At 38.2% G+C, this 26,846-nt stretch overlaps 1 protein-coding gene across 3 annotated transcripts in view; it reads left to right on the top strand.

Moving 5' to 3' along the window:
• The window catches only part of NUDCD1 (NudC domain containing 1), a 93,169-nt gene that overhangs the window by 28,185 nt on the left and 38,138 nt on the right, over positions 1–26,846 (top strand). For all 3 annotated transcript variants that reach the window (NM_032869.4, NM_001128211.2, XM_047422330.1), the window contains exons 3-6: positions 9,334–9,519; positions 12,379–12,559; positions 15,970–16,152; positions 24,731–24,935. In NM_032869.4, coding sequence (NP_116258.2) covers positions 9,334–9,519; positions 12,379–12,559; positions 15,970–16,152; positions 24,731–24,935 — 755 coding nt within the window. The remainder of the gene's footprint in view (positions 1–9,333; positions 9,520–12,378; positions 12,560–15,969; positions 16,153–24,730; positions 24,936–26,846) is intronic.

Genomic DNA, 26,846 nt, shown 5'->3' with positions numbered 1-26,846 from the left:
GGGAGTACTTGCGACTTCCAGGAGGAAGAGGAGAAATCAGGCTGGCTGGCTGACGGGCACAGCTTTACTCTGGATCTATGAACCTAATGCGGGGGTCCTGCAGACGAACAGCCGTTGGGGTACTATAGATGACTAAGTGGGGTCCAGTCCACCAAGGTTGTAGAATTTGAGGGGTCAGATTCTTAATAAGATTAGCAGCCTGGTGAATTTCCTGTCTGTCCTGCTGGAGGACAGGAAGATAGTTGCTTAGAGGGCTAGTGCTTGGGATGAGGTTGGGGCCGAGCAAGAAACTGCATCCATATAAAAGTTCAAATGGATTGTACCCTGTAGTATCTCGAGGACAGGCTCTAATTTTGAGAAGGGCAAGAGGTAAAAGTACTGTCCAGTCCTTTTTAACTTGGAGGCTGAGCTTGGTGAGGTGTGTCTTTAAAAGACCATTAGTCCGTTCTACTTTTCCTGAAGATTGAGGACAGTAAGGGGTATGAAGTTTCCACTGAATACCAAGAGACTGAGAAACTGCTTGGGTGGTTTGAATAATAAAGGCTAGTATAGAGGTGGGAAGGCCAAACTGAGGAATTATGTCTTACAGAAGGGAAGAAATGACCACAGTGGCCTTCTCAGACCCTGTGGGAAAGGCTTCTACCCATCCAGTGAAAGTGTCTACCCAGACCAAGAGGTATTTTAGTTTCCTGACTCGGGGCATGTGGGTAAAGTCAATTTGCCAGTCCGGGGCAGAGACAAATTCCCAAGCTTGATGTGTAGGGAAGGGAGGGGGCCTGAACAATCCCTGAGGAGTACTAGAATAGCAGATGGAACACTGAGAAGGGATTTCCTTGAGGATAGATTTCCACGATGGAAAGGAAATGAGAGATTCTAAGAGATGGGCTAGTGGCTTGTAACCTACATGGAAGAGGTTATGAAATGACGACAGAATAGAATGGGCCTGTGAGGCTGGAAGGAGATATTTTCCTTGGTCCAAGAACCATTTGTCTTGTGTGGGAAGGGATTGATAGGTGGAAGTTTCAGTGGGGGAGTTGGTGGGAGTGACCAACGAGGAGGAGAAAAACTGGCCCTGAGGGACAGAAGTTGGAAGCTGGCTGCTTCTTTAGCTACATTATCAGCATAAGCGTTACCCTGAGCGATGGGATCTGATGCCTTTTGATGGCCCTTGCAGTGAATGACTCCAGCTTCCTTTGGAAGTAAAGCGGCCTTGAGAAGAGTTTTTATTAAAGAGGAATTAATGATGGAGGACCCTTACGTAGAGAGGAACCCTCTTTCAGCCCATATAACAGCATGGTGGTGCAGGATATGGAAGGCATATTTCGAGTCTTTAAATATTGACGCGTAGTGCCTTTGCAAGAGTGAGGGCCCGAGTTAAGGCAATGAGTTCAGCTTGCTGAGAGGTAGTGGAGGGTGGCAGAGCAGTAGCCTCAAGGATAGACGTGGAAGATACTATAGCATAGCCTGCTTTTGCTGGTAAGTGGTGATTAGGCCTAGTGGAACTGCCATCAATAAACCAAGTGTGATCAGAGTGAGGGACAGGAAAGAAGGAAATATGGGGAAATAGAGTGAATGCCAGGTGGATCAGAGAGATACAGTCATGGAGGTCAGGTGTGGTATCAGGAATAATGTGGGGGCTAGCCTAAAACAGTAAGGTCAAGTTGTTTGGACAGAAAGGCTACACAGCACGGTCCCGGCTCTTGTGTAAGAGTTCCAGTCACACACCCCTGCACTTCAGCTGTGTGTAATGAAAAAGGTTGGGATGAGTTAGGGAGAGCTAGTGTGGGAGCAGCTTTTAGGGCTGTTTTTTAAGGATTGGAAAGGGGAGTGGGGAAAGGATTTAGGATTTATGGGGTCAGCTAGGTTTATCTAGAACAGAATAATGGGTTGTGGAGGGGAGGTATTGAGGATAGGAGAGTATATGGTTTTGGCACCATGGGGTGGTTGATAAGGCGCAGATCCTGAACTAACCTGTAAGACTTGTCCAGTTTTTGGACAGGTGAAATGGGGGAATCGTAAGGAGAGTTTATAGACTTTAAAAGGCCATGCTGTAGCAGGCGAGTGATAACAGGCTTTAATCATTTTAAAGTGTGCTGTAGGATGGGATATTGGCATTGAGCGAGGTAAGGGTGATTAGGTTTTAATGGGATGGTAAGGGTTGCGTGATCGGTTGCCAAGGAGGGAGTAGAGGTGTCCTATACTTGTGGATTAAGGTGGGGAGATACAAGGGGAGGATGTGAAGGAGGCTTTTAACTGGGGAAAAAGGTGGCAATGAGGGGTGGCTGTAGCCTAGGAATAGTCAGGGAAGCAGATAATTTAGTTAAAATGTCTCAACCTAATAAGGGAGCGGGGCAGGTGAGGATAACTAACAAGGAGTGCATAAAATAATGTTGTCCAAATTGGCATGAGAGTTGGGGAGTTTTAAGAGGTTTAGAAGCCTGGCCGTCAATACTCACAACAGTTATGGAGGCAAGGGAAACAGGACCTTGAAAAGAAGGTAATGTGGAGTGGGTGGCCTCCATATTGATGAAGAAGGGGACAGACTTACCCTCCAGTGTAAGAGTTACCCAAAGTGTCTGTGATGGTCCTGTAGGCTTCCAAGGCGATCGGGCAGTGTTAGTCTTCAGCCACTAAGCTGAGAAGATCTGGGAAGGAGTCAGTCAGAGAGCCTTGGGCCAGAGTTCCAGGGGCTCTGGGAGTGGCTGCTGGGCGAGTAGGACAGTCCGATTTCCAGTGGGGTCCCACACAGATGGGAGACAGCTTAGGAGGAATCCCAGGCTGCGGGCTTTCCTTGGCCCAGTGGCTAGATTTCCAGCACTTGAAGCAAGATCCTTGGGGAGGCGGTCCTGGAGGAACACCTGGCCCCTGCAGTTTAGGCTTTTTGAAGTTTTGGTGTGCTGGAAATGTGGCTGGGGTTTCTCTCACAGTGGAGGCGAGTAATTGCAACTCTTCTTTATTATTGTACATCTTGAAAGCGAGGTCATTTAAGTCCTGTTGTGGGGTTGAGGGCCAGAATCTAATTTTTGGAACTTTTTAATGTAGGGAGTGGGTTGGGTAATAAAATGCATATTGAGAATAAGACAGCCTTCTGGCCCCTCTGGGTCTAGGGCGGTAAAGCGTCTGAGGGTTGTTGCCAAACGGGCCATGGACTGGGCTGGGTTTCATATTTGATGAAAAAGAGCCTAAATGCTAACTGATTTGGGAGATGTCTTATAAAGAAAGAGGAGCATTAACCTTGGCTATGCCTTCATCTCCAGCCACCTCTAAGAGGAAATCGTTGGGCAGGTGGGGGAGGGCTAGTCACAGAACGAAACTAAGCCAGACCTGGTGTAAGGAGGGGAGGTAATAGGAGGGTTATAGGGTGGGGGAGTGGAGGCTGAAGAAGAGTTGGGACCTGGCTTGGCCTGGCGAGGCACAGCCTGGGGAGGAGGGGAGAGGTCAGATGGGTCTGTAGAAAAGGAGGATTCCCAGGACTCAGAGCTTGGGGTGGAGACTGAAGGAACAGACAGCAGAGAAAGAAGAAAGATTTGGGATGAGTCTCATTGGGAGCAGAGATTAGGAAGGGACCGATGTGTAAAAGAATGCCTGGACATCAGGCACCACAGACCATTTGCCCATTTTATGAGAAGAATTATCTAGATCTTGTATGATGGAGGAATCAAAAGTGCTGTTTTCTGGCTATTTAGAATCATTGTTTAGTTTGTATTGGGGCCAGGCGATGTTGCAGAAGAAAATAAGATGCTTAGGTTTCAGGTCAGGTGTGAGTTGAAGAGATTTTAAGTTTTTAAGAACACAGGCTAAGGGAGAAAAAGGAGGAATGGAGGGTGGAAGGTTGCCCATAGTGAAGGAGGCAAGCCCAGAGAAAAGAGAGGGTAGAGACAGGGAGAAGGGAGGTAGTGAGCAGCCCTGGGCTGCAATGTGGGCAAGCAGCCAAAGCAGGCATCCCCGCACTTGACTTGCCACCAAAGGAATGTTGGTGAATGACCAAGGCAGGCATCCCCGCAGTGATCAGACACCAATGGAGTGTGGGTGAATAATCAGGCAGGTGTCCCTGCAGTGATTAAACACCAAGGGAAGACTGTCTTCCCGAGTCCATGACTGGTGCTGGAGTTTTGGGTCCATGGATAAAATGTGTCTCTTTTGTCTCTATTAGAGAGGACAAAGAGCTGGAATTGGAAGGACAGGGAGATTGAAGGGTAGTAAGAGAGGGAGATTGAAGGGTAGCAAGAGAGGCTGGAGAAGAGAGTAGAAAGGCCGCTTACCCCATTTGAAATTGGTGAGATGTTCCTTGGGCTGGTTGGTCTGAGGACCCGAGGTCGTAGGTGGATCTCCTCACGGAGTGAGGGAGAGGACAGAGGACTGGTCTCCCAAAGGAGTCCTCCTGTCCCGGGTCTTCGGCACCAAATGTCTGGCGCATCTGTGTAAAGAGACCACCAAACAGGCTTTGTGTGAACAACAAGGCTGTTTATTTCACCTGGGTGCAGGCGAGCTGAGTCCGAAAAAGGAGTCAGCAAGGGGTGGTGGGATTATCATTAGTTCTTAAGGTTTGGGATAGGTGTACAAAGTACATTCTTAAGGGCGGAGAGAATATTACAAAGTACCTTCTTAAGGGCGGGGGGAGAATATTACAAAGTACCTTCTTAAGGATCGGGGAGAATATATCCTATCAGTTAGGGTGGGGCAGGAACAAATCACAGTGGTGGAATGTCATCAGTTAAGACTATTCTCACTTCTTTTGTGGATCTTCAGTTGTTTCAGGCCATCTGGATGCATACGTGCAGGTCACAGGGGATATGATGGCTTAGCTTGGGCTCAGAGACCTGACAGTGGCTTGGTAGTGGTGAATTCTCTTGGCATTTGTTTGTCTGAAGAAGACTGTGTCTTTCCTTCATATATGAAGCTTTGTTTCACTGGATACAAAATTCTTGCTTGATAATTGTTTTGTTTGAGAAGACTGAAGATAGGGCCCCAATCCCTTCTAGCTTGTAGGGCTTCAGCTGACAAATCTGCTGTTAATCTGACAGGTTTTTCTTTATAGGTTACTTGGTTCTTTTGTCTCACAGCTCTTAAGATTCTTTCCTTCACCTTAACTTTAGATAGCTTGATGACAATGTGCCTAGGCGATGATTTTTTTGCAGTGAATTTCCCAGATGTTCTTTGTGCTTCTTGTATTTGGATGTCTAGGTATCTAGCAAGGCTGGGGAAGTTTACCTCGATTATTCCCCCAAATATGTTTTCCAAACTTTCAGATTTCTCTTCTTCCACAGGAATGCCGATTGTTCTTAGGTTTGGTCATTTAACATAATCCCAGACTTCTTGGAGGAGTGTTCATATTTTCTTATTATTTTTCCATTGTCTTTGTTGGATGGGGTTAATTCAAAGACCTTGTCTTCGAGCTCTGAATTTCTTTCTTCTACTTGTTTGATTCTATTGCTGAGACTTTCCAGAGCATTTTGGATTTCTGTAAGTGTGTCCATTGTTTCCTAAAGTTTTGATTGTTTTTTATTTATGCTATTTCATTGAATATTTCCCCTTTCACTTCTTGTATCATTTTTTTTTGTTTCCTTACGTTGGGCTTTGCCTTTCTCTGATGCCTCCCTGATTAGCTTAATAACTGACCTCCTGAATTCTTTTTCAGGTAAATCAGGAATTTCTTCTGGGTTTGGATTCAATGCTGGTGAACTATTGTGATTTTCGGAGGGTGTTAAAGAACCTTGTTTTGTCATATTACCAGACTTGATTTTCTGATTCCTTCTTATTTGGGTAGGCTCTATCAGAGGGAAAGTCTAGGGCTCAAGGCTGTTGTTCAGATTCTTTTGTCCCATGGTGTTCCCTTGACGTAGTAGTCTCCCCCTTTTCCTATGGATGTGTCCTCCTGAGAGCCGAGCTGTAGTGATTGTTATCTCTGTTTTGGATCTAGCCACCCAGCAAGTCTACCAGGCTCCAGGCTGGTACTGGGGTTGTCTGCACAGAGTCCTGTGTTGTGTACCATTTGTGGGTCTCTCAGCCATGGATACCAGCACCTGTCCTTGTGGAGGTGTCAGCGGGGTGAAATGGACTCTGTGAGGATTCTTAGCTTTGGTGATTTAATGCGCTATTTTTGTGCTGGTTTGCTCTCTATTAGGAGGTGGTGCTTTCCAGAGAGCATCAGCTGTGGTAGTATGGGGAGGAACACACAGTGGATGGGGCTGTAGAACTCCCAAGAGTATATGCCTTTTGTCTAGAGTTCCCAAGGTGGGTAGGGAAGGACCATTGGGTGGGGGCAGGGCTAGGCGTGTCTGAGCTCAGGCTCTCCTTGGGCATTTCTTGCCACAGCTGCTGTGGGGGATGGGGGTGAGGTTTCCAGGTCAATGGAGTTATGTTCCTAGGAGGATTATGGCTGCCTCTGCTGAGTCTTGCAGATTGTTCAGGGAAGTGGGGGAGAACCAGCAGTTACAGGCCTCACCCAATTCCCATGCAATCCGAGGGGCCTGTCTCACTCCCAACATGCCTTTGCCAACAGCACCAAGTCTGTTTCCAGGTAGTGGGCAAGCAGGGCTGAGAACTTGCCCCAGGCTACCTGTCTCCCAGCTGCAAAAGCAAATATGGCTTTCCTTCTTTGCCTGCCTGTGGAGTCTGCCCACCAGATTCACACCCTTCCCTGAGTTCTGGGAAGGAGACTTCTCCATCAGTTCAAAGTGTTACAAAGTTCAGCTGGCGATTTCCTTTTCCCTGTGGCCTTTGCCCGGTGCCTCTGGCTGCCCTCCCGAAGGACCCCTGTGAGGACAGGCAGAAATGGTTTGTTAGGGAACCCAGCGAGCTGACAGGGCTTTCCCTGCTGCTTCCTCTACCCCTGTGTTTTGCTCAGCTCTCTCAAGTGACTCAGTTCCAGGTAAGGTCAGAATCTTCTCCCATAACCTAGACCTTCAGGTTCCAAGTGGGGGTGTGTGTTTGAGGGGTCTCTCTTTCCTACTTCCACAGTTTGGGTACTCACAGTATTTGGGGTGTCTCCCGGGTCCTGTAGGAGCAATCCACTTCCTTCAGAGGGTCTGCGGGTTCTCTCGGCTTTCCTGATTTATTCCTGCAGTCATTCTGGAGCAAAAAATCATGATGCGAGGCTCCACAGGCTGCTCTGTCCATCAGAGTTGGAGCTGCAATTTAGTCCTGCCTCCCGTCTGTCATGATCTGCCCATCCCCCTAAACATTTTAAATAATCATGTTTCTTGTTAAGTTTTAAGGGCTTTTTTTATGTTATACATATTAGCCCTGGGTTATATTTATGACAAATACTTGTCTCCCTTTCTCTTACATGCCTTTTATTTACATGTAGAAAGACTTTTTCTATCCTGAGATTATAAGAACAGTATTATTTTCCTTTTCCTTTAACACACTTAGACACTTGATCTACTGGAATATGGAATATTTTTGTTTACGATATGAGGGAGAGAATAAGTTTAATTTTTTCCCAGAAGTTCTCTGGTGTCCCAGTAGCATTTGTGGACTAGTCTGTTTTCTTTTTATTTCACTAACTGGAAATACCACATCATGCTCTAAATGATGTGACCTACAGTAAAATTTATCTTAATTGACCTCCACTTAACAGACCAAATGGGTTAATTGATAGTCTCTGTTCTCTCTGTAAAACATACTGATGGAAGACCACAGTAAGCTTGATGTTTACTACTAATAGGCTACTTAATACTATGCTGGTATGATTCTGTTTCTTGCTTGTGGTTTTAGATCACTGATACTCAGATTTGATCATTCTACAAACTTAATGTGAGCTCTGCTTGCCATTGAGTATTTATTATTTAATTTAATATTATATAAAGCAGTAAAATATGAAAGGAAGGAAAGGTGCTGTTTCGGAGAAAGCTAAATTAGGTGCTTTAGAAAGAAAAAATGGGTCACCAAAAATTTTGTGGCCAGTAAGGACATTGTATACAGTTTACTTAAATATTATAGCATATATAGATCTAAGTTCTAGGAGAAAGTAATGAAATATGGATATAAAGGATTACTTTTCTCCTATAGAAAAACTTGTAAAGTTTAGCAAGAAAAACAAATGGTTGAATTTGAATGCAGTTTGGTATATGAGAGGAAGTTTATCTTCTAAATTATAGACCTTTAAAAATATATTCTCTTGTAAAACATTTTAATGATGTAACTGTTGTAGTCCATTTGTGCTGCTGTAACAAAATACCTGAGAATTGGTAATTTATAAAGAACAGAAATTTATTTCTCTGAGTTCTGGAGCTGAGAATTCCAAGATCCAGGTACTGGCAGGTTTGGTGTCTGGTAAGGGTTCAGTCTCTGCTTCTAAGATGATGCCTTGAACATTGCATCCTCCAGAAAGGAGGCATAATACGTCCTCACATGACAGAAGGCGGAGGGGGAAAAAGAGACAAACTCCCTCTTTCAGTCCCTTCTCCAAGGTTACTTAATCCCAATCACCAGTGTGGAGCCCTAATGATCAGAAGCCCTAACTTCTAGTAACATCACTTTGGTGATTAGGTTTTAACTCAGCTTTTGGGGAGGATACCACATTCAAACCCTAGCAGCAACTCATAACTTTACATTATAAGTACATAGACCAATTAAAATTTGTTAACAAAAACCTAGATTCATAGTAGGCTAAATGTAGTGTTTTCATACCGCAGACTGGTGTCTCTGTAGGCATTTTGAACATGATGTGGTATTTCTAACTAGTGAGTTAAAAATACTGATCTTTAACTCTAAAATTAAGAGAATGAAAACTAGATTACTGCATTGTATTAGTTTTCTGTCATACGACAACTTCAAAACTTAGTGACTTGAAACAATAACCACTTACCATATCACACAGTTTCTGTGGTCAGAAATCAGGGAGTAGTTCAGGTGGGTGGTCTGGCTCATGATTTTTTCATGAGTTTATAGCCAAAACGATAGCCAGGGCTGCAGTCATCTGAAGCCTTGACTAGGACTAAAGGATACATTTTCGAAATGATTAACTCATGGAATGCTGATTGTTGGCAAGAGCCATCATTTCCTCCCCATGTGGGTCTGTCCATGGGGCTACCTTAAGCATATTCATAGCATGGTAGCTAGCCACCCTCAGAATGTGTGATCCAAGAGAGAGAGTGAAGTAGAAGATGTAAAGTCTTTTATGACCTAGTTCTAGAAGTCATATGCCATCTGTCACATCTACTGTATATTTTTGTTAAAACTGAATCAGTAGGACAGCTCACATCAAAGGAAGAGGAATTAGACTCCAACTCTTAAAAAGGAGAGAAACCACCACACCGCAGATATTTATTTTGTGTGTGTGGATCAGTGAAGAGGAAGAGATTAATGTATAATGTTTGGTCTTTTTAGGACACTGCCTTAGGAAAACCACGAGAGGTGTTTCGACTTCCTACAGATTTGACAGCATGTGACAACCGTCTTTGTGCATCTATCCATTTCTCATCTTCTACCTGGGTTACCTTGTCAGATGGAACTGGAAGATTGTATGTCATTGGAACAGGTGAACGTGGAAATAGCGCTTCTGAAAAATGGGAGGTGAGGGTTTGTTTAAGACTTATGCGAAGTCCAGAAAGTATATGTAAATTACACCCTACTTATTTTAAAATGACACTTTTCAAGGATGGTTTACATGTGATCTGTTGTTTGTTTGATATATAATGTTTTGGATCTCTTTTTAACTAAATTATAACATATATATTTTTCACAAACTGTTACATTAACCACTCCTGTTTTGATCTGGAGTCAGTGCAGTTGTCAAGAATTGCATTCATTTTTCAGCAGACATCTTATATGCGTAGAGTACTTCATTAAGCATTGGCGTTGCCTCCTCCTTCTTGAAGAAGAGTTGACCAAAAGCTTATGTTAGGATGATTTTCTCCTCTGCCATTATGTTAGATTTGCTGGGATGTTTACATTGGTCAAATAGTAGTCAGATTACCAGAATATTCTCTACTTAGAAAAATACATGATATAAATATATAGTTATATGCCAATTTCCAAGACAACATTTTTACTTTAATTTTAAAAATTAGATATAAATCTAAAGGGTAGTTTAGGGTTTTAATAGTAATAAATAAGGAATTAATTTCTCTAGAACTACAGTTTTTGAAAACAGAAGAAAATGATGCCAAGTAGATAATCAAAAGATTTAGTTTACTGCTTCAGCTCCTTTGAGTTATGCTAATAAGTGTATTGTAATATTGCTACTGTCTGAATCTCTGTAGGTAGCCTTTAGTTCTGGGTAAATAAAGAGATGCGAGCTTAATATATTTATGTCTTATAAAATAATTTCATCTGACCAACAGATGCCTACAGAGACCAGGCTTTAATTACTTGAGAAAAACCAGTTAGGTCTTAGAACCAAATGGTTTACCTACCTTACTAAGTTATACTAAATGTTATACTACCAAATTATAGTATGTTCAAAATACACAGTAAATAACCAGAACAGCAGTAGCCTATTTACAAGAGCCTGTTGCATTCACAGTTTCAGATATTCATTGGATACTGTGGCAATTTCTGTTTTGGCCTTTAGTAACAACTTTCATTTTTCTGAAAAACAGAAGTAATGTGGTATGTAGCACAGCTACCTGAAACAGTTGGAAGGTATTTTGAGAATAATGCGCAGGAGAGATATGAGTGGGAATTTATCTGGTATTGAGCTGTATGGATTCTGTAGATTTTGAACAGGACAAACCTACTTGGCTCACTTTCATCTTAAAAATAATACCACACATTATTTCATATGGGCTTATACTTCTTTTGGTTTTGTTTTGTGTATCCCCTTGGCGTGTATTAAGACTTCAATAGTATCTTTTAAATAAATTTAAAAACTTAATTCTACCTTGTGCCTTCTTTAGCATATACTGCCCTAATGAAATAAGCTCCCTTCAGAGATGTTTTCAGCTAATAATAGTTTTGACTAGATACTGGTGGGAGAGGGAGGAGACTTGGGGATTAATTGAGGTGGGAGGGATACTGTGGAATATTGGTCACTTTAAGAAACAATTCAGGAGGGTTTTAGGACTTTAGGGTAATTAATATAACAGAGAAGCTAAAAGTAGAAGTGATTACGGAGCATGGTGGGGGGTAAGGGGGCCAAGGGTGGTGGTGGTGATTACTGAAGTTTAAAAAGAGAAATTAAAGGAGACAGCTTGCTTTCCAAATGTGTTGCCTCTAATACCATGGAAGTGCCATGTATCAACGGTATCACAGTTTAGATGCTGGGCTTGTTCAGAAAACTAGAAACTTCAGCCTAACAATTTTTAAAAGTACGCCATCTACTCTTCTGGTTTCATTACAGTTCCTTTCACTCATACTAGAAAGAAAAAAAGAAACAATAAACTAGCTACTTGTTCCTGCCAAAACTTGTCATTTTCTGTTCTTCCGTTTTGTTTCCCCTATTCCTCAAACAAAAGCAAAACCCAATCAACCAATAAAAACCTGCCTTCATCTGTCATCTCTGTTTTGAATATTTAAGGATTTTTTTTAAGCTTTTGTTTTTTCTGTTTATGGAAATCTTAAGAATGGATTCTGAAGGCCCATTACTTGAATGATTTTGGCAGATGTTCAAATACATAGGGAACTTGATGACATTAAAGCACATTTTTCTTTGTAAGGTTTTCAAGTAGAAGTAGATATGTGGGGATACCAGGTACAGGTTTTGTTTTTTGTTTTTTGTTTTTGTTTTTTAAAGCTACCTTTTTTTCAGTTAGGCTTTTTCTCAACTGTCCATATCTTATTTGGAAATCTTGTTTAGGAAGCAGCCTTAAAACCTTCTCTATTTTGTATTTAGTCTTAAAAATGTAATAGTTGTTGAGATCTTGTGTTTGTGGTATAAGAAAGAATTTGATAAGATTTTGTGTGTTTCTGTATGATGCTTAGACAAGATTTTGTGTGTTTTTATATGATGCTTTTTTGCTTTTCAAAAAACACTTTAGGATTATTTTAAATAGAGTTTGTTAACTTATTCTTAAATGCTAATAGGCTCTTTTGTTTTTGAGAAAAAACATGTTTTGGTGATTTATTCTTCAATGTTTTTGACTCTTGCCTTTGTAAACTTCCAGAGAATAAATAACAAACAAAAAACAGGAAAAAGGCATACACACATGCACACTCATATACAATATCTAGAAACTGAGAGGAAGCAAGGTAGCCAAGACTAATGATCAGTTTTTTTCTTATACAAATAAATATTTTCTTAAAAGTTCTGTCCTCAGGGAACATTATCTAAACTTGCAGTCTTTATGTAAAGGCCTTTTTATTTTCAAATTTCTTGTAATAAATAGTATCCAAAATAACTGTTGAATCACCAGAATCCTATATATTCCCTCTATGCTATCTGTGTTCATGTAATTATGTACACTTTTTTGTGTGTGTAATTTTGTTTTGTAGATTATGTTTAATGAAGAACTTGGGGATCCTTTTATTATAATTCACAGTATCTCACTGCTAAATGCTGAAGAACATTCTATAGCTACCCTACTTCTTCGAATAGAGAAAGAGGAATTGGATATGAAAGGAAGTGGTTTCTATGTTTCTCTGGAGTGGGTCACTATCAGTAAGAAAAATCAAGGTAAAACAAAAGTCTGAATCTGTCTCTACTGGTTGGCATTATTTAGTAGATTTTGAAACACAAAGCTGTCCCTGTAAATACTGTTTGCTCTTTCTTGGGCATTGTGTTACAATTCTGGCACCTGCCACCACTGGTGGAATGAATATGTATAGATAGTTTTTCCTCAGGTATATTTTATAGAAAAAAATTGCAGTGTGCATCCACAGCCAATTATGCCTTTTATATAAAAGAAGACATTGTTATATAAGTTTTGAATAATTTAACGGGTATATTTTTAATATATACAAAAATATATGCATATATATGTGTGATACACAGAAACATATACCTAAAACTAAATGTAAATTAATACATTATAGTATAATTTAAATGTAAATAAATATAAATACTTACTTGGAAATGAATGTCTTTATTTCATTAAAGTACAGGTATGATTTCTTTTAAATCTAATTGAACTTCATTATTTGTTTCTACATTTAGGAAAACTGTTACTTTTTCTTACCTGATGTGCTCCCATGTTTAGAATAGTCCTGAACTTTGGTCTGTTTGAAGCTGTCTGTCAAGCTTCTAACTTGACATTAAAAATTACAATCTCATGAATTAATTAGGATTTCTTTAAGGTATTAAGAAATCTCTTTGCCTTTGCTTAGTTCCTGCTGACTCATTGAGTGTTTTCTTTTTAACTGTAGTTGAGTACTGAGAGTGCTTGTTTCCATAATGACTCTATGCTCTTTTTCTCAGTAGTTTTTATTAGCTGACTCATTTATGAGTAAGTTAATATAAATTAAATTATCATTCATCTCTGTAGAAAAATATTTCTTTACCATAGCTGCTAGTTTGCAATTCAGTAAAGACTGTTAGTATTTGTTTCCTAAGAGGGTTTTGCCTTTTATTCTAAAACAGCTATCTGTCTATCTAATAGATATCTCAAAATTGTTTATAAATAAACTGAATAAGTCTCCTAGATTTGTTCTTTGAAGTATTCAATATAATTTATTAGTTCTTTTTGGTGTTGTAGTTTTATCTCTGGAGGAACACAGTAACTTTAAACTTTAATTAGATATTAGAAAACTTTTTTGAAATCCCAGTTGGTAACCATAAGATCTATGTCACAGCTATCCGAGTATGCCAACACAGTACAAAAGCATCCATAGACAATATATAAATGAATGAGTATAGTTGTGTTCCAATCATACTTTATGGACATAGGAATTTGAATTTTATGTTTTTTTGACATATATTTAAATATTATTCTTTAAATATTACTATTTTAACAATTTAAAAATATAAAATTCATGCTTAGCTCACAGGCCATACAAAAATAGGCCTAGATTCAGCTTTGGCTCAAGGGTCCTAGTTTGCAGAACCCCTGCTTTAGATAATGGAAGCCTTAATTTTTTTAAGGTACGTAATTCAAAATCTTACAGGAGACATTGTCATGCATATTCCTCCTCCTTTCTCCAAGACACTTGGTTCTGTAACATCTTTTTCTCAATCTGTGGTAACTCATCAAATTGCCTCAGAACATAGCAGTACTCTGCTCCAGCTCTACTTCTCCATCCCGTTTGTCTTCGTTTCTTTGCCTCAGCTGGACAAATACATTGAGACTAACCTTTTTTCTCCCAAGATTGTAGTTATAGAATCATTAATTCTCTTTATTGTTCCCTTTATCTTTCTTTTATATCTTGTTCCTTCTCTCCCAGACTACTACTAATATGATTGGTTTTTTTCTTCTTTTTCTTTTTAGTTAACAGAACAGTATTTTCGTAAACTATTTTGAATGAAACATTTCATAAAGTATATTTATGGTCAGATAAGTTTGAAAATGTGGACATAAAATAGCTCCATTACACATTAAGCATATTAAAGTTTCTAAAAATTGTGAGTAAAAAAAGTTTAGGTTAGATGCAAAGGCTCATGCCTGTAATCTCAGCACTTTGGGAGGTCAAAGCAGGAGGATCACTTGAGCCCAGGAGTTTGAGACCAGTCTGGGCAACATAGTGAGCCACCGTCTCTACAAAAATTACAGAAACATTAGCTCGGCATGGTGTTGTGCACCTATAGTTCCAGCTATTCAGGAGGATTGCTTGAGCCTGGGAGTTTGAGGCTACAGTGAGCAGTGATCGTGCCACTGCATTTAGCTTGGGCAACAGGGTAAGACCCTGTCTCAAACAAACAAAAAACAATTTACATTTAATTTTAACCTAGCATTTCTCCACATATTTAACCACGGAATCCGGTTTTTGAGGCTTCCTATTCTTTTCTGTCCCATGCATGCTGGGAAAGGCCACGCTATAAATATGTGATGTCGGTGTTTGGATCTTTAAAGTCAAGTAGGACTTTTGGCCCTGCATGTATCTATAGGGGAAGTGTAGGAGTTTTGTTCATTCATTAAATTACAAGCCTGTTCTTAAATATGTGTGAACTGAATGTGTGAATGTAGGTGAGGATTTTGAGTAAAAACAATGAGATATTTTAGAACAGATGGTATTATTATGTAAAAACTCATAATAATATGACATTAAGTTGTGATTTTCGACTACTCAGTATGAAGCCTACAAGTATAACCCACTTAAAGAGTAACAGTATAGGTAAAAGTATGGAGTCAGCTAAAATGTTTGAGTACTTTTTAAAGCAAAAAATTACTGTCTTTATAGGAAAATAAGTTTAATTTGTCAGAAACTTTTGGAATACAGTTAATTGTTTATATCTTAAAAGTAGCACTAATTTATGTTTAATTATAAGCATATAGATAAATGTCTTGTGTAAAAAAAATCATTTCTGCTATAAATTTATTTCATTGTTAAAATGCCCCTTATCGGGAGTTAGAGCAGGCAGAAAAATAGACCACACTGCATGTTTCCCCTTGTCCTCAATTTGTCACTTTTCAGAAGAAACTTATCACATACCTGCTGAGAAGGCAGACAGGCTTTAGTCAAGGAGAGGTAGGTCATACAGAAGCTGTTATTCCAAGTAAGCCGGTCATGTTGGAGTTCTGGGGTACTGCTGTCTAATAAGAGATTTCTCCAAGATGGACATGTTTTATATGTGTACCATTCACTGCAGTAGCTACTAGCCATGTGTGGCTATTGAGCAATTAAAATGTGGCTAGTATGACTGAGGAATTTAAATTTTACTTAATTTTAAGTAGATACTTCTGGCCAGTGACTACCACATTGGACAGGACAATCGGGAACAAATTTCACCAGACCCAATATTTTAAAATAGGGACTTATTTACGGAAAATTAGATTGTAAATTGTTTATCCTTATGAAAAGACTCTTAATAGTGTACCTTTTAATAATACATTCAAATTATTTAATTATAATTAAAATCAATTTTTAAATATCAGAATATTTTGATAATAGTTTTTATTTGTAATGTTTTGTTCTGAAATACTTTTCTTACAGATAATAAAAAATATGAAATTATTAAGCGTGATATTCTCCGTGGAAAGTCAGTGCCACATTATGCTGCTATTGAGCCTGATGGAAATGGTCTAATGATTGTATCCTACAAGTCTTTAACATTTGTTCAGGCTGGTCAAGATCTTGAAGAAAATATGGATGAAGACATATCAGAGAAAATCAAAGGTAATTTTTATTCTTAATAGAGCTTATTGGTATTTTCATAAACATATATTTATGTCTTTTATTTTCCCAGTTAGGTTAATAGTTCTACAAGGGCAAGATAGATGCATAATTTTTTCTTTATTTTCTCATGTATTTTCCAGAAGTCTTTTATAAGGTATACCACCTTAATAGTGTGAATGAACTGGTTTAATTTGATCATTTTGTTATTACCAAAAATGTTTTTTTAAAAAATCGTTTATTAGCTTCCTTGATTAGGTGCTTAATAAATAGTTATCAAATAAATGTCTATTTGCTATTAGTATTGATGGTATTAATAGTGTAATATTGAAGATACTAATTTTTAAAAATAAGTTAAGCTAATGTACCTGTTCTTACCTTTTATACTAAACTGAAAGTAAGTTCCTTGAGGGCAGAATCACATAATTTTATTAATGTTGAATGAATGAATGAAGGTTATGTTTTAGCATGAAAAGACTGGCCAGGCACGGCAGCTCACGCCTGTAATCCCAGCACTTTGGGAGGCCTAGGTGGGCGGATCAAAAGGTCAGGAGATCGAGACCATCCTGGCTGACACGATGAAACCCCGTCTCTACTAAAAATACAAAAAAAAATCCGGATGTGGTGGTGGGTGCCTGTAGTGCCAGCTACTTGGGAGGCTGAGGCAGGAGAATCACTTGAACCCAGGAGGCAGAGGTTGTTGTGAGCCAGGATTGTGCCACTGCACTCCAGCTTGGGCAACAGCGAGACTGTCTCAAAAAAAAAAAAAGAAAAGACTAACAAGAAATTTCAGAAGAAATTTATATTTGTATATAAAGAACAGACATTCTTTTAAAGCTGTTCAAGAGAACATTCCTCTGTAATAATTACTGTTCATATTTCTGATGTTCATAGCCAGAGAATAGTATATTTTATTTAACAGAGATTTTTATAATATTTAACAATTCTACATATTATTCTTTGAATCTCCCTTTTTTGTTAAACAAGTTATTTTAAAAAATTAGTTTTACCTTTTTGTTTTTAAGTGAAAACACGTTGATTAAGAAAGTAAAGAAATAAAAGAATGGCTACTCCATAAGCAGAGCAACCTAGGTTTACTATTTTTGGATGCTTTAAGAAATGAATATTAATGTAATATATAATTGAAAAATATTTTCCACAGGTTTATAAATATATGCACCTCTGAATACAAAAAGTTGTGCTTAGTAGGCCTTTTCTTTAGACTTTTAATACCTTGGTTTTCTCATGTGGGATTCGTTTTTTGTTAGATTATCTCTAAGATCCTTTCCTGAATAAATGTTACTATTCTGTCTAATTATAATGCTAACCTCATCCAAAGCTTAGCCAGAATAGCTGTTTATTTCTCTAGATCATGTGTCTTTAGAATTCCTTTGGTAAGCAATCTCGAGGGAATAGAAAGCTTGCCTTAATCTTTGGAACCGTTCTGCCCAGATAACTTGGAACCATGCAGTTCCAAGACAGATTGAAGCCTAAGTGGGACACATCATGTGTTTAAATCACTACCACAGGTATTGTTTTCCTTGATGACATCTCATGCTGTATCTTGAGTTCCCTCCAAATTCATTGTTTATTTTGTCATAGGATTTTCACAGTAATAAAGGAAAAGTGTTGTAATTTTTAAAAATTATGGGTAGTTTGGTCATTGATTGGCATTTGTAATACTTTCTGAATATTAATATATATACTGGTTTCCTTTTCTGTTAACTTCAAGAAGACTGGTATTATCTATTGGCTATTTGGCATTTTAATAACATGTTTTTAAAGACCTAAAACACAATCTCTAAAGGCATAGAAAGGTACTCAAAGCAACCAGTAATTGAGAGAATTATTTAGGTGTTTGTATACATTCAACAATGTATACAATGGGGAGGTGATTAAAAAACTGTGACTTTACCTTTAGTCTACATCCATGGCCTTTCATTAATTAATACATTTTTAAAATTTCAACTTCTATTTTATATTCACGGGGTACATGTCAATGTTCTTTTACCTGGTTGTATTGCATGGTGCTTAGATTTGGAGTACGAATGATCCTGTCACCCAGGTACTGAGCATAGCACCCAACAGTTACTTTTTCAACCCTTTCTACCCCCTCTAGTAGTCCCTATTGTATGTTGTTGCCATCTTTATGTCCATGAGTACCCAGTGTTTAGCTCACACTTATAAGTGAGGTCATGTGGTATTTGGTTTTCTGTTCCTGCACTAATCTGCATAGGATAATGGCCACTTGCTACATTCATGTTGCTGCAAAGGACATGATTTTGTTCTTTTACCTGGCTGTGTAGTATTCCATGGTGTGTATATGTGCCACATTGTTTTTATTCAGTCCACTGTTGATGGGCACCTATGTTGATTCCATGTCTTTACTGTGGTGAATAGTGCTGTGATGAACATACTAGCACACGTGTCTTTATGGCAAAAAAATTATTTATTTTTTATATATATACCCACTATTGAGATTACTGGGTTGAATTGTAGTTCTGTTTTAAGTTCTTTGAGAAATCTCCAAACTGCTTTCCACAGGGGCTGAATTAATTGACATTCCCACCAATAGTGTATCATCATTCCCTTTTCTCCACAGCCTTATCAGCATGTGTTGTTTTTTGACTTTTTATTAATAGCCATTCTGACTGGTGTGAGATGATATTCTCCTTGTAGTTTTGATTTGCAAGTGCAAATCTCTGATAATTAGTGCTAATGATTAGTGATGTGGAGTATTTTTTCATGTGTGTTGGCCATTTGTATGTCTTGTTTTGCGAAGTGCTGTTCATGTCTTTTGCCCATTGTTTAATGGAGTTATTTGTTTTGTGCTTGTTCATTTGTTTAAGTTCCTTATAGAGCCTTGATATTAGACTTCTGTTGGGTGCGTAGTTGCAAATATTTTCTCTGATTCTATAGTTTGTTTACTCATAGTTTCTTTTGCTGTGGAGGAACTCTTTCATTTAATTAGGTACCATTTGTCAATTTTTTTGTTGTTGAAATTCCTTTTGAGTACTTAGTCATAATTCATTCTCAAGGCCAGTGTCCACAATGGTGTTTCCTAGGTTTTCTTCTAAGATTCTTACAGTTTGAGGTCTTACATTTAAATCTTCAGTTCATCTTGAGTTAATTTTTGTATATGGTGAGAGGTAGGGGACCAGTTTCATTTTTCTGCATATGGCTAGCCAGCTATCCCAGCACCCTTATTGAATAGGGACTCCTTTCCCTATTGCTTGTTTTTGCTGCCTTTATCAAAGATTGTCAGATGGGTATAGGTGTATGGCTTTATTTCTTGGTCCACTGGTCTGTGTATCTGTTTTTGTACTTTTTTTGGTTACTGTAGCCCTGTAGTATACTCTGAAGTCAGTGTGATGCCTCTGGCTTTGTTCTTTTTGCTTAGGATGGCTTTGGCTATTTGGGCTCTTTTTTGGATCCGTACGAATTTTAGAATAGTGTTTTCTAGTTCTGTGAAAAATGACATTGGTAGTTTGATAGGAGTAGCATTTACTCTGTAGTTTGTTTTGAGCAGTATGGACATTTTAATGATATTGATTATTCCAACCTATTAGCTTGGAATGTCTTTCCAGTTGTCTGTCATCTGTTATTTCTTTCAGCAGTGCTGTGTAATTCTCCTTGTAGAGATCTTTCACCTCCTTGTTAGATGAATTCCTAGGTATTTTATTATTATTATTATTATTGGCAGCTACAGTAAATGGGATTGTGTTCTTGATTTGGCTCTCAGCTTGAACATTATTGGTTTGTAGAAATGCTACTGATTTTCATACATTGATTTTGTATTCTGAAACTTTACTGAAGCCATTTGTCAGTTCCAGGAGCCTTTTGGTGGAATCTTTAGGGTTTTCTAGGTATAGAATTATGTCATCTGCAAAGTTTGACTTTTCCTAATTGGATACCTTTTATTTATTTCTTTTGCCTGATTGCTCTGGTTAGTACTTCCAGGACTATGTTGAATAGGAGCAGTAAGAGTAAGCATGCTTTTCTTGTTTCAGTTCTCAAGAGGAATGCTTCGTTTTTGCCTGTTCAGTATGATGTTGGCAGTGAGTTTGTCATAGATGGCTCTTGTTATTTTGAAGTGTGTTCCTTTGATGCCTAGTTTCTTAAGGATTTGTATAGTGAAGGGATGTTGGATTTTACTGAATACTTGTTCTTCATCTATTGAGGTGATCATATGATTTTTGTTTTTAATTCTGTTTATGTAGTGAATCACATTTATTGATTTGCATATGTTAAACTAACCTTGCTTCCCCAGGAATGAAGCTTACTTGATCATGGTCAATTAAATTTTTGATGTGCTGTTGGATTCAGCTTGCCAGTATTTTGATGAAGATTTTTACATGTATGTTCATCGGGGATATTGGCCTGTAGTTTTTTTGTGTGTGTCTTTGCCAGGTTTTGGTATCAAGGTTATGCTGCCTTCATAGAGTGAGTTAGGGAGGGAGTTCCTCCTTCTCGATTTTTTTGGAATAGTTTCAGTAGAATTGGTACCGGCTTTTCCTTGTATGTCTAGTAGAGTTTGGATGTGAATCCATCTGTCCAGGGCTTTCTTTGGTTGATAGATTTTTTTATTACTGATTGAATTTTGGAACTTGATATTGGTCTGTTCAAGGTTTCAGTTGCTTTCTGATTCAGTCTTGGGAGATTGTGTTTCTAGGAATTTATCCATTTTCTCTGGATTTTCTAGTTTGTGTGATACAGGGCTTCATAATAGTCTCTGGGTTTTTTTTTTGTATTTCTGTGGAATTGGTTGTAATGTTACCTTTTCATTTCTGATTGTGTTTATTTGCATCTTCTCTTTTTTTGTTAATCTAGCTAACAGCCTATTGATCTTGTTTATCCTTTCAAAAAAAAACCAACTTTTGGTTTCATGGATTCATTGTTTGCATATTTGGGTCTCAATTTCATTCAGTTTTGCTCTGATTTTAGTTATTTCTTTTCTTTTGCTAGCTTTGGTGTTAATTTGTTTTTTTTTCTTGTTCTTCTGGGTGTGATATTAGATCATTAATTTGAGACTTTTCTTACTTTTTGAGGTAGATACATAGCACTTTCCTCTTAACACTGCTTTTGCTGCATCCCAGATAATTTCCATGATACTGTGTGGTTTTTGAGAGATCTTCTTGGTATTGATTTCTATTTTTATTCCACTGTGATCTTAGAGTATGATTGGTATGATTTCATTTTTTATAATTTATTGAGACTTGCTTTATGGCTGAGTGTGTGAGTGATCTTGGAGTATGTTCTGTGTGCAGATGAGTAGGATTTATATTCTGTGGTTGATGGGTGGGGTATTCTGTAGATGTCTGTTAGATTAAGTGTCAAATTTAAGTCCATACTTTTTTTCTTTAGTTTTCTACCTTGATGATCTGTGTGATGCTGTGAGTGGTATGTTGAAGTTCCCCACTATTGTCTTGTGGCTAAGTCTTTCCATAGGTCTAGAAGTACTTGTTTTTATGTATCAGGGTGCTCCAATGTTGAGCACATATATATTTGGGATAGTTCAGTCTTCTCATTGAATTGAACCCTTTATTATTATGTAATGCCCTTTGTCCTTTTTTACCTTTGTTGGTTTAAAGTCTGTTTTATCTGAGGTAAGAATTGTGACTCCTGCGCTTTCTGTTTTCCATTTGCATAGCAAGTTTTTTTCCAGCCCTTTACTTTGAGCCTGTGGGTGTCATTATGTGTTAGATGGGTCTCTTGTAGAATGCCGATGGGCCTTGTTTTTGTTTTGTTTTTTTTTTTTTTTTTTAATCCAGCTTTCTACTCTGTGCCTTTCAAGTGGGATGTTTTGATCATTTACATTTAAGGTTAATATTGTTATGTGAAGTTTTGATTCTATCATGAAGTTGTTACTGATTGCTTTGTAGTTTCTATTGTATAGTTGCTTTACAGGGACTATGGCTCTGTCCTTGTGTTTTTGTGGTAGCAGATACTGTTCTTTTGTTTCCCTGTTTAGAACTTCCTTAAAGATCTCTTGTTAAGGCTGGTATAGTGGTAACTGATTGTCTTAGTGCTTGCTTGTCTGGAAAAGATTTTGTTTCTCTTTCACTTATGAAGCTTATAGTTTAGTGGGATATGAAATTCTTGGGTGGAATTTCTTGAAAAATTCTGCAAATAGCTCTCAATCTCTCCTGGCTTGTGAGGTTTCTGCTGAGAAGTCTGCTGTTAGCCTAATGGGGTTCCCCTATGTAATCTCTTTTCTTTAGGTGCCTTTAAGGTTTTTTCTTTAGTGTTGACCTTGGACAGTCTAGTGCTATATGCCTTGGTGATCTTCATTTTGTATAGTATTTCTCAGGGGTTCTGGATTTCTTATACCTGAATGTCTACCTCTCTAGCAGGATTAGGGAAATTTTCTGAATTATTCCCTCAAACATGTTTTTCAGTTTGTTTAGTGTTTCTTCTCTGGAATGCCAGTAGTTAATAGGGTTGGTTACTTTACATGATTTCATATTTCTCAGAGACTTTGTTCATTTTTTTAAAATTCTTTTTTCTTTATTTTTGTCTAGCTGGACTAGTTTGAAAGACTGGCCTTCAAGTTCTGGAATTCTTTCTTCTGCTCAGTTCAGTCTGTTGATAAAGCTTTCAATTGTATTTGGAAATTCCATAAGTGAGTTTTTCAATTCCAGAAGTTTGTACTGATTTCTTTTAAAGATGTTTATCTCTTCCTTCATTTCTTGGATTGCTTTAGAAGTTTCTTTGTATTGATTTTCAATTTTGTCTTAGATCTTGTTGAGCTTCCTTGCAATCCATGCTTTGAATTCTTTGTGTCTTTTTTCTGAGTGTCTATTTTGGTTAAGGACCATTTCTAGAAAGCTAGTGATATTTTTTGTCATGTCACTACATTCAGATTTTTTTTATGGTGCCAGAATTCTTGCACTGGTTTCTTTTTTTTTTTGGAATTTTTTTATTGTACTTTTAAGTTCTGGGATACATGTGCAGAACGTGCAGGTTTGTTACATAGGTATACACGTGCCATAGTGATTTGCTGCACTCATCAACCCGCCATCTACATTAGGTATTTCTCCTAATGCTATCCCTCCCCTAGCCCCCCACCCCCCGACAACCCCGGTGTGTGATGTTCCCCTCCCTGTATCCATGAGTTCTCATTGTTCAACTCCCACTTATGAGTGAGAACATGTGGTGTTTGATTTTCTGGTTTCTTATCTAGAGATTCTGGCACTTCAAATTTTTATAATATTTTTGTGCAGATAGGATTTTTTAGTTTTCTTTCTTTCCTTATAATATTATTTTTGTTTGTTTGTTTGTTTGTTTTCTTTCTCTTTCCCTCTCTAGGGGGTGTGACTATAGAGAATGCAGAGTAGGGTCTTTGGGCTTTGCTTCCATAGCCCTATGCACTTCTGTTGGCAGGTTGTATATTGGGCTATGCAGTTTAACCTACAAGCCAGTAGATGGTGCTTGTTAGTAACAGCCAATTGCAGCCAGTGCAGCAGGGTATATACTTAATCCTTGTTTACTGGGAGAACTCTCTATTGCCTCAGGCAATGGGCTGATTCTTGGATTGCACAGTTGTCTGAGCTCCCTGCTCAGCCCCGGGGAGTAGGGGCCAAGATGGGCAGGACGAGACTGGGCAGATCTGCCTACAGATCCCCCAGTGGCAGGTGTGGACACCAGCGCTGAGGGAGAATCTACCTGGCAGCCACTAAATGCCCAGAGGCATACCTAAGTGTGGAGCTAAGAAACCCTCCCAGCCCCAAGTTCTCTGGACAGGGTTCGGGGGATGGCATGAGCTCCTAATCTAGGAGAGCTCCAGGTGCCTGGAGCTCTGCCTAGGCATGGAGCAGGGAGGGCCCCTCTGTATGAAAATCTCTGCACAGGAGATGTAGGTTAACTCAGGCTGTTGAAACAGGCAAACAGGTGCTTTGAATGCCTGAAAGTCCACCTGGGTGTGAAGCAGAGAGGGCCCCCCAACACCAGATCTATGAATAGGAAAGGTGGGACAGTTCAGGCTGCAATCTGGGCAAGGTGCTTTGAATGCCTGGAGGTCTGCTTAGAAATGGAGTGGATAGGGCCTGGCTGCACTGTGATGTATGCACAGGAAGGGTTGGGGTAGTATGGCCTTTAATTTATACTAAAAGTGCATGTGATTTTGCACATCCTCCCATTCCCATTATCTGGCAGAAGCTATCCATTGAGATATTATTATGTAACTGCTTTGCTAGCTTTTCTGGGTAACATATTTTATGTTCTTTTGAACTAGGGATTCACTCTGTGTGTGTGTGTGTTTGTTTAAAGGAAAGAAGGAGTGAAAGAGGGAGGAAGGGAGGGAGAGAGGGAAGAAATGAGGATAAAGGATTGCTATCATTAGTATTTTATGAGTGCTTTATCTCCTCAAGCATCAGGTAAGTCTGGAAGAGGAAAATTTCATGTTAATTGCTGCAAATCTTTGAGTGAAAATTCCTCAAAGAGATCTGTGCATGTTTGTTTATAATTACGTTTTGTGAGATGATCACTAGTAAATATACTAAAATTCTTTTAGATAGGTTTTGTGTGTGTGTATGCTTTCTCTAATTTTTTATTACATGATGCATTTTTCTTTTCCCAATAGAACCTCTGTATTACTGGCAACAGACTGAAGATGATTTGACAGTAACCATACGGCTTCCAGAAGACAGTACTAAGGAGGACATTCAAATACAGTTTTTGCCTGATCACATCAACATTGTACTGAAGGATCACCAGTTTTTAGAAGGAAAACTCTATTCATCTATTGATCATGAAAGCAGTACATGGATAATTAAAGAGAGTAATAGGTATTTTTTTTTAATTTTACTTTAATATTCTATTATCTTTTTTTCTTTTCTTTTTACTCTTTCCACAGTGGTTACATCAGAGATTAATACAATAGTTCTGTCTGTATTGCTGGTTACTTTTCTTAAGATATATTAAAAATAGAATTACTGTGTCAAAGAGCATATTTCTAGTTGAAATTAAAGATAGTAGCATAGCTATCACTTGGAGAATATGGTAGTGCTTTGTTTTACCAGCTCTGGATACAATAATAATCATAGGTGAAAATGGCTATTTTAAATTGCACTTTTTCAAACTTTTTAATAGAAATAATTTTTTTAACTTTAGTTTGCTGGCTTGATAATATATTTCCATTCTTTAAAATTTTAAATATACAAAAGGATGTAGAGTGAGAAGTCTGCCTCCAACACAAGCCTATGGGTCACCCATCCTCCCACTCCTCACAATCAGTGTTGTTACATTTTACATACATTCAAGCATGACACATACTTTTTCCTTTTCTTTAAGGAAAACTACTTTTGGCGGCTAGCTGCAGTGGCTCACGCCTGTAATCCCAACATTTGGGATGCTGAGGTAGGAGGATTGCTTGAGGCCAGGAGTTTGTGACCAGCCTAGGCAAGAAGAGAAAACCCTGTCTCTAACAACAATAAAAAAGTTTTTTGACACATACTTTACACAATTATACATCTTGCTTTTGTTCACTTGCAATGATAAATCTTAGGGATCTTTCCATAATGAATATATAAAAATTATTAAATTCTCTTTTATGACATCACGGTATTTTATTCTATCAACTGCACCATCATTTTAGACAATTAATCCTCTATTGTGTTAATTTAGGTTGTTTTCAATAACTTCTGTTTATATACATATTATTTCACATGTGTAGAAATATATATGAAGGATAAATTTCTAAAAGTGGAATAATTAATATTTCTTTGTAAATTGTAGTAATTTTTTCTTATGTAAATTCTCCATTTACATTTGTTTTTTGAACTGTGTGTTCAGGACACAAAGCCATAAAAGAAATACATAAGTGGCCAGGCACAGTGGCTCATGCCTGTAATCCCAGCACTTTGGGAGGCTGAGGCGGGTGGATTGCCTGAGGTCAGGAGTTCGAGACCAGCCTGACCAACATGGTGAAACCCCGTCTCAACTAAAAACACAAAAATTAGCTGGGCGTGGTGGCGGGTGCCTGTAATCCCAGCTACTTGGGAGGCTGAGACAGGAGAACTACTTGAACCCGGGAGGCGGAGGTTTCCGAGACCAGGCCATTGCTTTCCGGCCCTGGGCAATAAGAGTGAAACTACGTCTCAAAAAAAAAAGAAAGAAATACATAAGTTAGACTTCATCAAAACAGACATTTTCTGCATATCAAAATTAAAAATTTTTGTTCTTCTAAAGATACCATTAAGAGAACAAAAAGGTAAGCCATGAACTGGGAAAAAATATTCACAGTATTCATCTTAAACCAAAGGACTTTCATTCTTAGTGTATAAGGAAGCCTTACAAATTCATAATAAGCCAATTTTTTAAATGGTCAAATTATTTGAATAGACATGTCACAATAGAAGATAGATGAACAGCTAGTAAGCACATCAAAAGGTAATTATCATTAGACATTAGGAAAATTAAAACTAGAGTGAGACACCAATACATGACTAAAACTTTGAAGACTGACAGTATCAAACGTTGGCAAGGATGTGGGGCACCAGCAACTCATTCATATCTGGTACGAGTGTAAAATAATAATACAATCACTTTGGCAGACTGTTTAGCAGTTTCATATCAAGTTAAACATATACCTATTTTTAATCTTAACAATTCTACTCCTTGATGTTTAACCAAAATAAATGAATGTATATAATTTTTTGTTTTTCTGAGACAGGGTCTCACTCTGTTGCCCAGGATGG

Source organism: Homo sapiens, chromosome 8, assembly GCF_000001405.40.
Source record: "Homo sapiens chromosome 8, GRCh38.p14 Primary Assembly".
Taxonomy (NCBI): Eukaryota; Metazoa; Chordata; class Mammalia; order Primates; family Hominidae; genus Homo; species Homo sapiens.
Note: the sequence above shows the minus strand (reverse complement) of the source record. Positions and strands in the feature narration are given on the sequence as shown.